Raw genomic sequence first — 18933 nt, 5'->3', positions numbered from 1 at the left:
GTTTGCAAACGTGCTTCTCAATTTTGAGCATCCATCATGGGAGATATGGTTCCTGAGTCAGCTCACAGGCTGCACTCTTGGAAGGGCTGGCTTGGTGCGTCCATGTAGGGGCCCATCGCATGTATCTTTTAGTCCAGACCGTGGATGTCGAATTCCTCTGTTTACTTTTAGGGTGTAGTTTTTAGAGGGGCATTTCTCTTCTTTGTTTTGAGAGGTATTTATTCTAGCTTCCCTTCATCTCTCATCTTCTTCCTCCAATTTGAGTTTTAAATGTGATCCCAGGAGTTTTGGGACCAGTGAATTTCCTTCTTCTCAGTCTCATTCTCCATCCCTTCCTCTGCAGGTGGAGGGAGTTGATGTGGTGGAGAAATGCCTTTCAATATTTTTTACTGCAATATTAACTCATGTCGGATATAACAAGTAACCGTGCAATGAAATGAACTCAGGAACAGCAAAGCCATTAAGAAAATGTGCCATTAGGGAAAGGGCTAGAGTTTCCTATGGAAGAGGTTCACCAGGCACATACTTGTACATGTTCGAGGAAATGATTCAAATGTTTATAGCCCTTATAATTATGTTCCTTTTAAGAAGTAGAGACTTTTGGAGCCAGAAACATTTTCCTAATTCACTTCATTGGTAATGAGTTTTACTTTTAAAATTTTGATGCGATGAAATCTAAATTCAAATATTCAGATGTAAGGGTATATGTAGACATATGTGCATTTGTACAAAGAGAAAACTTTGTGATGGAACCATCAATCAGATACAATATGATGCCAGCTTTGTTCTATTCATTCTTCTTTTTCTTTGTCTTTTTTTGGAAAATATGAAAGCTAAAGCTTTTAGGTTTTGTTCAAACCTGTAAAAGCACATATCAAATATTTTCTTATTTCTTTTCATAATACCATAAGAGAGGGTGTTTTATCTTTTTTTCTGCAATTTAACATAAGTAGAAATTGTCAGTTTAAAATTGACAGGTATTTGTTACAGTCAACAATGAATTGTTCAAATTTGGGATCACCCACCATCATTGGCAGTGTCTGTCAGGTGTCACAACAGAAGGAACACTGATTAAACGACGATGAAAAATACAATAATTTGGAGCCCTGTGGGTAAGATGTGAAAGGCATCTGGTGTTTGCTGATGAAGGCAAACCCTCCACTACCTGCAGGCATGCTCAGGGTTCCGGGACGGGGGCTCCAATGCTGTCTATGATGAATGCTCCGTCCCTCCACATCTCTCTGGTGTGGTGTGTGGGCCTTTCCGTCAGGTTTGCAGGCGGGGTATATAGGTCTGTGGGAAATGGGCGAGAGTCCCCTTGCATTAGGAAAGAAACAGAGGAATATAAGGTCAGTGAGTCACTTCCCATGAGGCAGTGTTGATGTGAAGTTTTCATTTCGGTTCTTTAGGTGCATGGGAGTGCCCAACGTGAGTATCTTGTCCCTTGGCACCCTACTTTTGGTTATACCTGTGAGCAACTGTATTGGTATATGGGGTTTCTTTTTATTTTCCATCTTTTTTCATTTTCATTTTATTTTATTTTATTTTAAAATTTTACTTTAAGTTCCCAGATACATGTGCAGAATGTGCAGGTTTGTTACCTAGGTGTACCTGTGCCATGGGGGTTTGCTGCACCTATCAACCCGTCATCTAGGATTTAAGCCCTGCATGCATTAAGTATTTGTCCTAATGTCCTCCCTCCCTTTGTCCCACCCCCCAGCAGGCCCCAGTGTGTGATGTTCCCCTCCCTGTGTCCATGTGTTCTCATTGTTCAACTCCCACTTGTGAGTGAGAACATGCAGTATTTGGTTTGCTCTTCCTGTGTTAGTTTGCTGAGGTTGATGGTTTCCAACTTCATCCATATCCCTGCAAAGGACATGAACTCATCCTTTTTTATGGCTGCATAGCATTACATGGTGTATATTTGCCACATTTTCTTTATCCAGTCTATCATTGATGGGCATTTGGGTTGGTTCCAAGTCTTTGCTATTGTGAACAGTGCTGCAATAAACATATGTGTGCATGTGTCTTTATAGTACAATGATTTATAATCCTTTGGGTATATACCCAGTAATGGGATTGCTGGGTCAAATGGTATTTCTGGTTCTATATCCTTGAGGAATCGCCACACTTTTCCACAATGGTCGAACTAATTTATTCTCCCACCAACAGTGTAAAAGCACTCCTATTTCTCCACAGCCCCGCCAACATCTATTGTTTCCTGACTTTTTAATAATTGCCATTCTGACTGGCGTGAGATTATGCCTTAGTGTGTAGTTTATGGGGTTTCTTAAGAGATACTTTCCTTTCTAATTATACATCAAGCCAAACAACTCTGAAATAAAATTTTAATTCAGTGAATTAGAAATGTTTCTTTTTTAAAAGTCTCAGTGGACATTCATTTTCTGTTACTTCTTCTAGTAGTTGTTATTGGCCATTTGGTTCATGGAAATTTATGAATCTTCTGATAAAAAATAACATGATGCAACTGTAATACTAACCTATGGCTGGGGTTGTCTTTTCTTCTGAAAAATGCTGAGATAAAAAGGAATATAAAGCTATCCAGTTATTGTTAAATTCACTTACATGTACTATAAAAACAATTTACTAAGAGTTTATACTCAGAAACCATAAAATAATAGGTTGATAAAACTGATTACATGTAAATGTACAGCTTTCACATGGCAGAGGCCTCAGTAAGAAGACAAACACAATCTGCAAAAAAATTTGCCACACATATGATAGTCATAGGGTGAATTTCCTAAGATGCAAAAATGCTTAAGATAATAAAGAGCTATACAGAAAAGTGGGCAGCCCATGGATAAAAGAATTAAAAATGATGGTGAACAAGTGCATGAAAAGATACCCAACCTCATTATAATTAAATAAATGCGAATAAAAATGAAACTCTATTACCATTCATTTAAAATACACATTGAACAGAAACATGTCTTGTCCTGAGCTAGTTGCTATGTACACAGATGTCAACAAGACTGACACTGAATTTGCTGGTCCAAAGTTGAGATTCTAGATTGCCTGTGTCCAGTACTCAAGCGCCATTAGCCACATGTAACTATTTAAATTTAAAATAATGTAAAGGAACTAAAATTAAAAATGTAGTTTCCCAGTTGCACCAACCGCATTTTGAAGTGTTCAATGGCCATTTGCTGCTGTCGGCTGTGGTGCTGGGCAGCAGGTCCAGCGCTTTTCCACCAGCACACGTGGTTCTCTTGGCCACCACTTATCCAGCAGAGAGCAACTCAAGGAAGGAGCAAAGAAAAGTAAATAATTTTAAGATGCAATCATAAATTCCATGACAAGCACTTTTTTTCTTTTTTAGACGGAGTCTTGCTCTGTCGCCCAGGCTGGAGTGCAATGGCACGATCTCGACTCACCGCAACATCCACCTCCTTGGTTCAAGTGATTATCCTGCCTTAGATTCCTGAGTAGCTGGGATTACAGGTGCCCACCACCATGGTTGGCTAATTTTTGTGTTTTTAGTACAGATGGGGTTTCACCATGTTGGCCAGGCTGGTCTCGAACTTCTGACCTCAGGTGAACCACGTGCCTTGGCCTCCCAAAGTGCTGGGATTACAGGCGTAAGCCACCATGCCAGGCTGACAAGCACTCTAAGAGGCTGAGGTGGAAAGCAGCAAAGGAGGCCTACTGACTTAGGGTGGGCAAGGAGATGGTATTTAAATGGAGACCCAAAGAAAAAGCCACATGGAGAATGGGAGGTGGAGAGAAAACCTTCCAGAGGAAGGATATAGGATGTCCAAAGGCCTTATAATAGGACAGAGCTGCTGGGTGCTTTTAAGGAAGGGAGGGTGCCCCTACATGAAGCCAACGAGTGATGAGGAGAGATGTATAAAGAGAAGTTGGGATACTGGTGTAGTGGGCTCTGTCCCACAGAAAGATATGTTCCGGTCCTGACCCCCAGCAACCCACACAGAATGTGACCTTACTCAGAAATAGGGTCTCTACAGGTGCGATCAAGTGAAGATGAGGTCATGCTGGATGAGGGTGGGATCGAGTCCAGTGGGTAGTGCACTCGTAAGAGGGGAATTTGGACACAGACACAGAAGATTCATGGATGAGCGCCACAGAATGATGAGCAGAGACTGGCATGATGCAGCTGCTAAATTTAAATGCTGAGTCTGCCAGCAACACCAGTGGCTGGGAGAGCCAGATTCTTCCTAAAACCTCCAGAGGAAGTGAGGCCCTGCTGATGCCTTGATTTTGAACTTCTAGCTTCCAAAACGGTAAGAGAGAGTGGATTTCTGTGGTTTTAAGCCTCCCAGTTTGTGGTGTTTTGTTATGGCAGCCACAGGTTTCTAACACAGTGGGTAGGAGAAAGCATGTGGGAATTTGAGGAATGAAGCCTGGTGAAGAACCGTAGAAGGATTTTGAGCAAATAAATAATTTGATCTAGTTTACAGGTTTGTGTTGTAAAAAGGTAACTTTTACAGCTGAGGAGAGAATGGAAGGAAGCAGGCAGCAAGGTTTATTACAATTAAACATGTTTGGGGGTTTTGTTTAGGTGGGGCATTGGAGATGGACAGGAGAAGGCGTATGTGAGGGCTACTGTGGGGCTGCAGCTCTGTTCTCCTTGAGTGATTGGTTCGAGGCATTTTAGTGAAAAGGAATTGACTTCAAGTGATACCAGGAAGTTTAAAGGGGGAAAACCAAGACTTCTGTTTGCTTTAGACTTAAGAAATTTGAGAGATCTTTGAGGTGTCTAATTAGATATGTCAAGTAAGCAGTTATAGATACAAATCTGGGACTTGGATGAAAGCTCTGAGCTTAACATCAAATTTGGGACTTGCCTGCATTACAGTGGTATTTAAATTCTAGGGAATTGGTACCATATTCCCAAGGAGCCCATGTAGAGAGGAAAGAGGACCCAGCACTGAGCCCTCCGGATGAAAACGGTTAAAGTTTGAGCCAAAGAGAAGGAACCACCAGAGGACAGAGATCAGGAGGGGCCTTCAGGGGAGGAGAAGAGATCAGGAGGGGCCTGCCAGGCAGGAGAACCAGGAACAGGTGGCACGGTGTTGCTGAAGTCAAAGAAAGGCTGTGTCCAAAAGTACAAAGGTAGCATTTTAAACAGCATCATGTCAAACATTTCAAAAGTTTGATAAAACCCAGTGTTGGTTAGACTCTCATGAAATAGCTTTCTCATACCACTGCTAGACGCAAAGGTGTATGTAGATGATGCTCATTTGTTTATTGTAGCATTGTTTGCAATAGCAACACAGAGCAAAGCAAAATGCATAAGGAGTCTAGGAGCAACCCTAACATCTGTGGGGAGGAGAATGGTGAAATAGGTGATGAGACGCACACACAACTGATGACGTGTGGCCTTTAAAGAAAAGACTAAGCTGATTGGAAGAAAAATCTCCAAGAAAGATTTTAGGGGAATATCACACATGGGGGCCTGTTGTGGGGTGGGGGAAAGGGGGAGGGATAGCATTAGGAGATATACCTAATGTAAATGACGAGTTAATGGGTGCAGCACACCAACATGGCACATGTATACATATGTAACAAACCTGCACATTGTGCACATGTACCCTAGAACTTAAAGTATAATAATAATAATAAAGAAAACAAAAAAACCAAAAAAACAAAAGCAAGGTGTAAAACAACATGTATCATATGATCTCATTTGTGTTAAAAAAGTAAAACTTGGCCAGTCGCGGTGGCTCACGCCTGTAATCCCAGCACTTTGGGAGGCTGAGGTGGGCGGATCATGAGGTCAAGAGATCGAGACCATCCTGGCCTACATGGTGAAACCCCGTCTCTACTAAAAATACAAAAATTAGCTGGGCATGGTGCTGTGTGCCTGTAGTCCCAGCTACTTGGGAGGCTGAGGCAGGAGAATCACTTGAACCCGGGAGGTGAAGGTGGCAGTGAGCCAAGATCGTGCCACTGCACTCCAGCCTGGTGACGGAGCATATTTCACATGGAAGAATGAAGAGCCTGTTTATTATGTTTATTACTTGGGAGTGGATCTGGGCATAGACATGGTGAAAAGGGGAATTCTGATTTTGATTTTATGTTTTCACATACTGTTTGACTTTTTGACCATATGGATGCACTACTTTTGTAAGTAAAAGCTAGAATAATTTTAAAAACTCTTGTTTTGAAATAAGAACGATTCACAGGAGGTTGCAAAGACAGTACAAAGAGTCCTATGTACCTGTCACCAAGCTTTCCCCAGTGGTAACATCCCATCACATCAAAACAAGAAACCTGTATTGGCACAATGTGTGTGTATGGTTCCATTTCACTTTGTCACTTTATCATTTTATATAGATTTATGCAACTGCCACCATCAAGATACAGGATTATTCTATCACCATGAAGACTTCCTAATACCACCTCTTTATAATCATTTCTACCCCTCCCTTTCCAATCCCTAACCTTGACAACCACTAGTCTATTTTCTGTCTCTATGATTTTGCCATTTTGAGTATGTTACATAAGTGGTATCATATAGCATGCAGCTTTTTGAAATTGGCTTTTTATTTCTCACTCTGCATAATACTCTAATGCTCTTGAAATCATTCAAGTTATATGTATCCATAGTTTGTGCTTTTTCATAGCAGAGTACTTTTCCATGGTATAGCTGTACCCAGTTTGTTCACCTATTAAAGGAACATTTTGGTTGTTTCCAGTTCTTGGTTAGTGAAAATAAAGCTGCTATGAATAATTCTGTATATGTTTTTGTAGAAACATAAATATTTCTCTGGGATAAATGCAAAAAGTGCAATTGCTGGAGCATAAGGTAAGTATATATACAGTTTTTAAAGAAACTGCCAAACTATTTTCCAGAGTAACTATACTCTTTCACAATGTATGAGGAATTCAGTTTTTCTGCATCTTCACCAGAATTTGGTGTTGTCACTAATTTTTATTTTAGTTATTGTAATAGGAATATAGTCATATATCATCATGGTCTTGTTTTCCATTTTTTATTGGCTAGTGATGTTGAATAACTTTTCATGCGCTTAAGTTGCTACCCATGTATCCTATTTGGTGACATGTCTCTTAATGTCTTTTGCCTATTTTCTACTTCAATTTTTTTGTCTAGTGGTGAGTTTGAGAATTCTTTATGTATTCTAGGTATGACCCCGTAGTTCAATGTATTTGCAAACATATTCTCCCAGTCTATAGCTTGTATTTTCATCCTCTTAAAAGAGTCTTTTGCCGATAAAGAGTTTTTAATTTTATGCAAGTCCAATTTATTGAAATTTTTATTTTATAAGTGTGGGTGTTATGTCTAAGAACTCTTTGAGAAACCTTAGATCTCAAAGATTTTCTCCTGTTTTCTTCTAAAAGTTTTATAGTTTTATATTTACATTTACATCTATGTATCTATGATACATTTGAATTATTTTTTGTATTAGTTTGGTGCTAAAGTAATTGTGATTTTGCCATTACATTACTTTTAATGGCAAAACCACAATTACTTTTGCACCAACCTAATATAAGAAGTGAGAGAGAGATTTAGCTTGAGGTCTTTTTTTTTTAACCTCTGGATATCCAATTTCTCCAGCACCTTTTGTTGAGAAAATTATTCTTTATCCACTGAATTGCTTTTGCACCTTTGTAAAACACCAGTTGGCCATGCTCCTGGGAGTAATTCTGCATTCTCTATTTTGTTTTATTGATCTATGTGTCAGTTTCTCTGTCAATACCACAGTCTTGATTATCGTAGCTGTAAAATAAGTCTTGATAGCATTTTGTGTTTCCATCCAGTTTATTTTTCATGATTGTTATCACTAGTCTAGGGCTTGTGGCCTTCCTATAAATTTTAGAATAATCTTTTATGTATTTGTAAAAAATCCTGCTGAGATTTTGATAGGAATTGCATTAAATGTGAATATCAATTAGGGAAGAGTTGGTATATTTATGTTAAGTCTTGCAATCCATGAATATGGTATGTCTCTCCTTTACTTAGACATTGATTAAATGTTTTCATCAGTATTTCCTAGTTTTTAACATATAAGTTCTGTGTATGTTTTGATAGATTTACAGTTAGTATTTCATTATTATTCATTACCAATGATTTCAAAAAATCATTCTTTTTTGAACGATTACAAATGGTAGTGTAATTTTAGTTTGTTTCCACATGTTTATTGCTACTGTATAGTAGCACAAATGGTTTTGTATGCTGTTCTTGTATCCTGTGAGATTGCTGAACTCACATATTAGCTTTAAAGGGTTTTTTTTTTTTGGTCAATATCCTGGGATTTCTACACAGAAAGTCTGCAAATATGGGCAGTTTTATTTCTTTTTTTTTTTTCTGTCTGCATGCTTATTATTTCCTTTTGTTGCTTTACTGTGCTGGTTAGAACTTCTGGCACATTGTTGAATAGCAGTGGTGAAAGCAGATATCCTTGCCTTGCCCTCAATTTTAGCAGGGAAAGCATTCAGTATTTCAAAATGACGTACAATGTTAATTGCATTTTTTTTGGTAGATGTTCTTTATGAAGCTGAGGAAGACCCTCTTTATTCCTGGTTTTATGAGAGGCTTTTTAAATAAATGGTTGTCCAATTTTGTCAAATTTTTTTGCATCAGTTGATATAAACATGTGATCTTTCTTCTGTACCTTGTTAGTATGGTGGATTACTATCTTAGTACATTTGGGCTGCTATAACAAAATACCATAAATGTGTCCCTTATAAACAACAGAAATTTATTTGTCACAGTTCTGAAGGCTGGGAAGTCCAAAATCAAGGCACTGGCAGAATTAGTGACTGGTGAGGGCCCACTTTCTGGTTCATAGAAAGCATCTTCTCACTGTGTCCTCACATGGTAGAAGGGATGAGGGAGTTCTCTGGAATCTCTAGTATCATTCACAAGGGCTGTACCCTCATGACCTAATAACTTTCAAAGGCCCATCTCCAAATACCATCACTTTGAGGGCTCTGCTTTCATGACTTAATAACTTCTAAAGGCACACCTCCAAATACCATCACTTTGAGTGTTAAGATTTAGCTTATGATTTTTGAGGGAGATATAAACATTCAGTCTATAACAATTATATTGATTGATTTTCAAATATTAAACTAGAATAAACTTCTGGAACTAAACTCCTGGAACTCCTGGAATAAACTTCTCATGATCATTACACACAGACATATTTTAGATTTTTTTTTTTTACTGAATGCTATTTGATAATATTTTCTTAAAGATCTTTACATTTATATTCATGAGTGCTATTGGTCTATAGTTTTCTTTTTTTGCACTGTCTCTGATTTTAGTATCAAGGCACTACTGACTTCACAAAATGAAGTGGGAAGGGTTTCTTTCTCTTCTATCTTCTGGAAGAAATTGTGTACTATTGGTGTTAATTTTTTAAATGATTGGTAGATTTTGCTAGTAAAATAATCTGGGCCAGGAATTACCTTTTTAAGAGTTTCAAATAAGAAATCCTATTTCTTAAATTGTTATTGGGTTATGCAAATTATTTTATATTGGATGAGCTGTGGCAGTTTGCATATTTTGAAGAAGTTGGTCCATTTTATCTGTGTTGTCAGATTTATGCTGTAGAGTTGTATGTGGTATTCCCTTATTATTCCTTTAATGTCTGCAGAATCTGTATTACTACCCACTGTTCTATTCCTGATATTAATCATTTAATATGAATAATTTTTCTGGTTTTCAATTAGCAAGAACTTTGGCATTTTTCTTAATATTTTCAAATAACTATATCATAATTACACTGATTTTCTGTATTGTTTTCCAGTTTTTAATCTCATTGATCCCCACTCTCGTCTTTATTATTTCTTTCCTTCTGCTTGTTTTAGGTTATTTTGCTATTTGGTTTTCTAGTTTTTTGACATGAGTACTTAGACTACTGATTAAAGTATTTTCCTCTTTTCTAATGCAAGCATTTAGTGCAATACATTTCTCTGACTGCTCTAGCTGCATCTCACCAATTTTAATATAGTTTCATAGTTTCATTTTGTTTAGTTCAGTGTATTTTTAAATTTTTCTTGAGATTTTGTCTTTGATCCATGGATTATTTAAAATATTTTTATTTGTTAGTTTCTAAGAGTTTGGAAGCTTTCTTTTTATTATTCTATTGATTGTTTTCTAATTTGATTATAGTTTCTGATTTGAGTGTAGTCAGAGAACATGTACTATATGATTTAATTCTCTTAAATTTGGCAAGGTTTATTTTATGGTTCAAGATATAGCCCATCTTGGCAAAGGGCACTTGAGAAGAATGTGCATGCTGTTGTTGGGTGGACTGTTCTATAAATATGGATTAGATCCTATTGGTTGATAATGTTGAATTCATCTATATCCTTACTAATTTTCTGTCTTGTTTCTCTATCGATTGTTGAGAGTGAAATGATGAATTATCCAATTATAATTTTGGATTTGTATATTTCTACTTTCAAGTCTATCAGTTTTTGTTTTATATATTTTGCAGTTTTATTGTTTGATGCATATACATTTACAATTTCTATTTTTCTGTGTGGATCAATATTTTATTCTTATATACATATATAATGCACATACACATTATATATACACCTTATGTATATATGGAATATATATACATAATACATATACACATATATGTATTTGTATATACACATATATACATATATGTATATACATATACACATATATGTATATACACACATATACATATGTGTATACACACATATACATATGTGTATATACATATATACATATGTGTGTGTATACATATATACATATGTGTGTGTATACATATATACATATGTGTGTGTATACATATATACATATGTGTGTGTATACATATATACATATGTGTGTGTATACATATATACATATGTGTGTGTATACATATATACATATGTGTGTATACATATATACATATGTGTGTATACATATATACATATGTGTGTATACATATATACATATGTGTGTGTATACATATATACATATGTGTGTGTATACATATATACATATGTGTGTGTATACATATATACATATGTGTGTGTATACATATATACATATGTGTGTGTATACATATATAACATATATATATACACACATAATGCACATTACACACATATATGTGATTACCAGGAAAATTATCAGTATATTACACAGTATACATTAGTATATCATTACATATTTACTGGTGGTGTCCCTTTCTGTCCCTAGTAATTCTCTTTATTCTGAAATCTACTTTATGTGATATGAATATAGCCACTTCCTGATTCCTTTTGATTGATGTTTGGATGGCATATCTTTCCTTTTACTTTCATCCTGCTTACACTGTTTTACTAAATGTGAATTCATTGTTGACACCATATGGTTGGGCCATGTATTTTAGCCTACTCTGGAAATCTCTGTCATTTTTGTTAAAGTAACTTTATTAAGGTATGATTGACATGTAAAAAGCTTACATATTTTATGTGTACAACATGGTGAGTTTGGGGATAAATACACACCTGTGAAACTATCATCACTGTCAGGGCTATAAACATATCCATCACCCCCCAAAATGTCTTCATGCCCCTTTTATTATCATTATAATTTTTAAAGCAAATTTTAAGTATACAATACAGTATTGCTAGCTATAGGTATTATGCTATATAGTAGACTTTCAGAACTTATTTATCCTGCATAACTGAAACTTTGTGTCCTTTGACCATCACCTGCCCATTTCCTCCTCCTTCTAGCCCCTGGAAGTCATCACTGTATTCTATGTTTCTATAAGTATGACTATTTTAGATTTCACATATAAGTGAGGTCATGTAGTACTTGTCTTTCTTTATGTGGCTTATTTCAGTTAGCATAGTGTTGTCCAGGTCCATTCATAATGTCATAAAAGGTAGAAAATCTCAGTCTTACTTGGTATACTTAGACCACTTACAGTTAATATAATCACTTATGTGTTAGGGCATATGTCTGTCATTTTACTTTTTGTTTGTCTCTCTTGGTTTTGTTTCTCTGTTGTCTTCTCTCTACTTTTCCATGGGTAACTTGAAAACTCTTTAGAATTCCATTTCTATTTATTTATAGTTTTTTAGTGATTTCTTTGCATGCCTTCTTTAGTGGTTCCTCTAGGCATTACATTATATACATAACTTAAAGTCTACGGGTGATGTCATTTTACCAGTTTGAGTGAACTGTACATTGTATACTGTTTAAAGAACTTCCTGCCGGGCTTAGTGGCTCACGCCTGTAATCCCAGCACTTAGGGAGGCCGAGGCGGGCGGATCACGAGGTTAGGAGAACGAGACCACGGTGAAACCCCGTCTCTACTAAAAATTAGCCAGGCGCGGTGGCGGGTGCCTGTGGTCCCAGATACTCGGGAGTCTGAGCCAGGAGAATGGCGTGAACCCAGGAGGCGGAGCTTGCAGCGAGCCAAGATCGCGCCACTGCACTCCAGCCTGGGCGACAGAGTGAGACTCCGTCTCAAAAAAAAAAAAAAAAAAAAAAAAAAAAAAAAAAAAAGAAAAAGAACTTCCTATAGACATTTTCTTGGGAGAGATCTGTTGGCAACAAATTCTTTTAGCTATTTTTCATCTGAAAGTATTTAGTTTCTCCATCATTCCTGGATATAGAATTATGAGTTGACAGTTCTTTTCTTTCAGAACCTGAAAAATGTCATAGCAATTTCTTCTGGACTACATGGTTTCTTATCAGAAATCTGCTATCTTTTCAATTGTTTTTCCCCTTTATGTAAGATGTCATTTCACTCCTGCTGCTTTTTTTTTTGACTCTAGTTTTCAGATTTTGACTATGATATATCTTCTCATGGATTTCATTGGGTTTGTCTTGTTTGGGAATTTTCTCTGCTTCTTGAATCCATAGGTTTATGTCTGTGCAACTTTGGGATATTTTTCAGTTATTATCTTATCGAGTAAACTCTACCTTCTCTCTCCTCTCCTTCCCAGACTCTGGCGCCATGAATATTAGCTATTTAGTGATAGCAACAGGCTCTTTGTTTTTCAGGCTGCTTTTTCTCTGTTGTTCCAGTGGAATAATTTCTATTGTTTTATATTCCAGTTCACTGATTCTTTCCTCTGTCCCTTACATTTTGCTGTTGAGTCTATCCATTCAGTTTTAAAATTTTAGTTGTTTTCTTCAGTTCTACAGTTTTCGTTTAGTCCTTCTGTATATGTTCTCTTGTTTTGCTGAGACTTTCTTAATTTTTTTCAAAATGTACATGCTCATTGAAGCATTATTAGGATGACTACTTCAAAATCTTTCACAGGTAATTCTAATGTCTGTACCATCTCAGTATTGGTGTCTATTGATTGTATTTTCTTATTGAAATTGAGATATTCTTGGTTTTCCTATGATGAATAAGTATTGGTTACAACCTAAGCATTTGTGTAGTATGTTATGAGTCTCTGGATTCCACTTAAGTCTCCTATTTTAGCAGACCTTCTCTGACACTTCTATGGCACAGGAAGGAAGGGTGGGGATGCCACTCATTACAACCAGGTAGGGTGGAAGTCCAAGTTCCCCACTTGGTCTCTGTTGATAGAGGAAGAGGTAAAGGCATCTCATTAGTGCTAAATGTGGTTGGGAGCTCAAACTCCCCACTAGGTCTTGCTGATACCTAACCTGGCTGGGAGGGACAGTGTGCTTGTGTCTGCATGCTATATGGCCTTCACTGACATTATGGTGGGATGGTTTTGTTCCTATTGTTTAGTGATAAAAATCCTGACTGTCCAGGAGGTCACTTCTGATACCATGACTGTGGGGAGGGGAAGGTTTCTTTGTTACCGTGGGTGAGCTGGAAGTACAGACTCACCATTTGGCTTTCCTAGGCAACATCATGGAACAGGGTTTGGGTGCCTCATTATGGCTCTGTCATGATGGAAGTCCAAACTTTCCGTGTGCTGGCAGGGGTGGGAGTGGGCTGCGGATTTTTGTGGTATTTGGCTGGAATAAAATGAGTTTCACTTAAGAGTTTTCACTCTTATTAAGCAGTGCCTCCTCTGGTCTTTGTCTATGGGGAACAAGCTTTCCTCTCTGTTTCTTTCTGTGTGCCCATGGATATTTCTGGGTTTCTGGCTTCTCTAGTAACAAGTCTAGTATATATGAGGCAAAAACCAAATAAATAAATCACCACCACCAACAAAAACCACCACTGTGTGTTTCCTGGGGTTCTAAGGTCCTGCTGGTGGTCTGTTTTCTTCTCTTCAACTTTTAGAGTCTTTTGAAGTTTGCTTTATATGTAATGTGCAGGAATTTGATCTGCTCTTAGCAGGAGGAATAGAAAAAATACGACTATTTCATATTTCTGCAAGTGGAATATTCAAAAATAATTTTAAATGAGTAGTCTATGATGTTATATTTACTGCTGATTATGTCAGTACTTCCATATTAGCGTACCTATCTTTATAAGTGTTCGAAGAATATTTTCTCCTTCTTTCCTTCCTTTGTTCCTATAGTTCTCCTTTATTTTTCATTCTTCCTTCCCTTCATTTCTTTTTTCTCATCATCCCTCAATTTTTGTTGTTCCTTTGCTTCCTTTGTATTTTTTCTTTGAAAAGAATTCAGAACAGGTAATAACAAAAGATACTAATAAAACTACTATTTAAATTTTTGAAGTTAAAAATGTTTCAATTTTTCTAAATAACAAAAAATAATCTTACTCTGTTTTTTTCCAAGGTTCAGAATAACCTGGATGTATAGTCGTTTTCTTAGTGTGAGATTGGAGAGCTTTCAACAGAAAAAGAATAAAGGTTTGATTAAATGATCACCTTCTAAATCAAGGAATCTTTTGTTGTTGTTTTTGATGATGATTGATTTACCTTGACTCTATTTCTATGTTAACAATCTTAGTAGGTTTCATTTTTAGCATTTTAAAAATCATCACTCCCATGCACTTCACCCTTCAATAAAGCACAACCATCCCCCTCTGTGTCACACTTTCCTTCCTAAGAGTAAATGAGGGAGGGACTTCTAGATGTGGAATTTATACTTATTTTATTCTTGAGATAACATCAGCCCAGCGAAATAGGAATTACTTTAGTACTGAATTTATCACAGGTGATAAATAAGGTTAGGCAGGTGGGATTTTGATGTGGGACTCTTTGCTCTCTCTCCCACCCAGTTTTGTGGCACATCATTTAATTCCCCTACCTGCCTAGTGATTTTCTAAGAATTTTCTTGCATTTTAATTCAAGCTTAAGTCTGGATAGTCTCTCCATCCAAGGTGTTTCAGCAAGCAGGCGAGGAAATGCTTACATTCTTTTTAGACACAAACCAGTCATGTCATGTCATAGCCATGAGTTGGGACCAGAGATTGTCCTCTCTTCTGGTGTGTGAAACCCACCCTAATACAGGATTAATGTCAAATACATTACAAATACATGTGCAAAATGACAACCCCACTTAGGGACTACTGTATCTTTGGAGCCTAGCCCAGGGTATGAATGAAGCATATTAACAACTACATCTTAATTTAAGAAAAAAATATATATGCTGATAATACCACAATTACATTATAACAAAGGATAGAGAGCTCCATGCAAATACTTGTCCTCAGGGAAACTGCACTCTAATGAAAACAAAACCCAAGCACACATGTGCTATCAATTTGTGTTTTAAAATAAAACTTTCTCTTTCAGAATTGCATTGCAACTATTCATTGATTCATTCATCTATCCAGTTCAAAATATCAAGAAACAGAGAAGTGAGAGGAACAAGAGAGCTTCTGTTCTAGTAACATTTGTCAAAAGGAGGAAAAAACCTCTATTTCAGATTGCTTTCATATACAGCCATGAGATGCATGATTTTTCATAGATCAAAAGAGGAGACAAAATGCAGACTTTGTCATCTGTTGGACAGAATGTTCTGATTACTATGGATGGGGCTTCAGGAGTTAATGGCAAAAGAAATGAGTCTTCCGTGGCGTGCTTCAGTCCCCAAACCACTCTCTCATTTGACTATGAGGTTTGCTGGAATGAGACCATTCACAGAGGAAGGGGGGACATCAGGGAGATGGGAAATTGGCCACCTGCAAGAAACGAGTCCCTTGCACAAAGCCCAGTGTAGCAACAACGGACTCAACGAAGGAAGCCAGCCATCCAACGGAGAAAGACCAGCTAGCGAAGGCAGACGACGCTCATCTTCTGTAAATAGCAAGGCTTAAGAAAAATAGTCAATGAGCGCGCTCCCTTTTTGTTTGGCTTTGGTACCATTGACTAGTTGTCTGAAAGTAACCGATTGTATGGAATGGAACGAGTGGGAACCCAGCCAGTACCCCGAGCCAAGAAGTCCAGGCAAGTTATCAAGAAGAGGCTTTTCTTTTTCTCCTCCTCCCCCTCATTTCTCTTTTTCCTTCTTCTTTTTTAAATTCAAGAACATTTTATTTAAAATGAAATTCCCTTAAAGTTGTGCATTGTCTTTTATTTAAAGATGTAGTATCTCTGAGAATAAAGAAAGGAAGAGAGGAAATTAAAAAGCAATGAGAGAAGACGTCTGGCAGCTTGGCCTCTCACCAAGTGACCTTTTGATAGACCACATGGGACTCAGAACTATATGAGCCTACCAAGGAAGTGAACAATTTATGGTGCCTTGTTTGGGCTTTTGATAAGTATCTCTGTAAAGTGATGCAAGGAAAAACAACCCGGGACCTACTATAATTGCAGAATTCCTTTAAATTATTTTAAGATGAGAGAGGCCATCAGGACTAGAGAGAAATAGCCCCCAGGCTCAGGATATTTATGTGTATTTCATTTAAAAAATCGGTGCCACAATGTCCCAATGATCATTAAGCAACCTGTCTGGGTGTCCTTCAAAAGCTGGAGGATTTGTTCCCTGAGGAGGATGAGACAGTTATTCATAAGGCAGGATCTGAGCACCATGGGGCCACGTCCCATGCATGAAACATGAGAATTCCTGGAAACCACTGGAATCACCTGGGTTCATTCTGAGTTGCTTCCTTTGGAAAATCTTTTGGAAGAACATGAAGGGGTGTTTTTTACGTTCCCTTACTAAATGCTAAAGTGTGATATGGTAAAATTTGCTGGTTCACTGAGTGAAGCATCAGGCATTGGCTGAAATCTGGTGTCAAAACATAGGAGATCTTCCTGCTACTTGTATTTAGTGGGACACTTCTATACCTCCTACAGTGCACAGGACAGCCCCCTACAGTGGAGAATTATCCAGCTATCCAGCTTCAAATGTCAATCGTGCCAAGGTTGAAGACCCTGATTTAGGGGCTTCTTTGCAAATCATTGATCTTACCATCAAGGACTTAATATTCCAGATTGCTGAGAGCATTCTGTTTTTGAAATATCTCTATTGGATCATTTGAGAAGCCCTGGTTAACTCCCATATTTAAGGAGATCTCACAGGAGTTGTTTTAGAACAAGATTACTTTTGTTCTATGGCCAAAGGCTTCCTTTCCAGAAAGCTACACCCAAATTTAAACCACTTGCTCAGCCAAGGCTTCAGAAAATCTATCATCTGGTAGAAAAGCAGAGTTGTCTTTTTATCCCAGGTACAAGGATTCTTATTACAAACGACCACCTATTGTGACACTAATAGCATTGCTGAGGTGGTAACTTTCTATTTTAAAGTGTTAAGGCTGCAAGTCTACTAAGACCATTATAAAGACATGATCATCTGGAAACATCTGCAAGAAAATCTACCAAAATGAAGACACACTCACAAAATGACCTTCCTCCTACATCCCAGCTCTTGTCATCTTAAAGGCATTCACTCCATGGAGGCCCCAGGAGGCGAATGGCTTCTCTCATCTTGGGCTGCAGCTTTGCTGATGACTTCTGGCTCCTCATGGAAAACAGAAGTGCAGGGCATGCTTTTCCATTAAGCTCTTTCTGCTAAAGCAGATTCGAAGTTAAGAGAAGCAGGCACTGCTCATTCTTGTCCAACATTCATGGACAAAGAACTCTGGGCTTCAGTCTTGTCAACCCTCGTGCAGGGCTCTGCTCATTAGCAGGAATCTTCAGATGACTCATATTCCTGGGCATTTGATCTTTTGTGATAAGAAGAACCAGCCTGGCTCACTGACTGGTATGGTGTGGCATGGTTCCTGGCAATGGTGTCTTTGGAGACTGATGAAATTCTTTTAAGATTGATATCTCCATTATGACATATTGAGCATTGTGTGTTTGGGTTGTGTTAAGGAACTACTACCACCCGAACACTCTGGTCTTCCTCTCTCCTTTTTTCTTTTAGGCACATTATGTGTGGAGATGTGTTCTTATTGGCAAAGGATACAATATTCACTGATAAGGAAAAGTAAACTATGCTAATAACATGCAGAATTTAAAGGAAATCCCCAAACCTGAAGTTTTCCCAAATCTTTGGGCTTCCTTAGCCCTGTAAGTGGATCAAACAGCTGGGGAGTTTTCTTTTTTAATTTTTATTTTTATCACAGATCATCTACCATGAGCAATTTCTCTGGAAGTTGATGTGTCAATGACTATCTCATCTTTGTTGAAGTGAAGTTTTTGGTCCTGAAGCTGGCTGACTCTCAGCTTCCTGGACAGGCCCTTTTCTGGGCACACCGGGACATTGGGCATTTGTTGGAGTTTTCCAATGTCTGTAGCTCCAGGTGTTCAGCAAGAGGCATGGCACTGTGAAGTCACCATAGTGTTTACGGAGAAGCACAATAGGGGGCACCCTCCATAAATCTGGTTGAGGGAAAAGCATTACAAGTTGGATGAAATAAGAATACAAGAAACAGTATTTGTAGAGTGTATATGACTGTGTGTCAAGTGAAGGGAAGACAGAAGAAATGCTGTAAGTTACTAAGAGGGAGAAATGACTAAGGACTGCAGTTGTCATGGCAGGCTTCCTGAAGGTGGTGGATGTGGGCTGATGTCTGAAGAAAGTTACCATTTACTGAGATCTCACAGTGAGCCAGGCCCTGTTCTAAATATTAATGTGGATATTTTGTTTAAGTCTCATCATTTTTCAAG

At 37.7% G+C, this 18933-nt stretch overlaps 2 long non-coding RNA genes across 5 annotated transcripts in view; one reads left to right on the top strand and one right to left on the bottom strand.

Moving 5' to 3' along the window:
- LOC105372209 (uncharacterized) overlaps positions 1-18058 on the bottom strand; it is a 27195-nt gene extending 9137 nt beyond the window's left edge. For 2 of the 4 annotated variants that reach the window (XR_935653.3, XR_002958200.2), the window contains exon 1: positions 17658-18058. This is a non-coding gene — a long non-coding RNA (uncharacterized LOC105372209). Of the gene's footprint in view, positions 1-1165; positions 1318-3138; positions 3260-14631; positions 14699-17657 lie in introns of all 4 variants that reach the window. The other 2 variants (XR_935651.3, XR_002958199.1) reach the window with 2 other exon arrangements.
- The window catches only part of LOC105372210 (uncharacterized), a 38239-nt gene that overhangs the window by 4278 nt on the left and 15028 nt on the right, over positions 1-18933 (top strand). Inside the window, exon 2 of the long non-coding RNA XR_935654.3 lies at positions 15610-18933. This is a non-coding gene — a long non-coding RNA (uncharacterized LOC105372210). The remainder of the gene's footprint in view (positions 1-15609) is intronic.

This window comes from Homo sapiens, chromosome 18 (genome assembly GCF_000001405.40).
Source record: "Homo sapiens chromosome 18, GRCh38.p14 Primary Assembly".
NCBI classification, from domain to species: Eukaryota; Metazoa; Chordata; class Mammalia; order Primates; family Hominidae; genus Homo; species Homo sapiens.
This window is presented reverse-complemented; position numbering and strand designations above follow the sequence as displayed.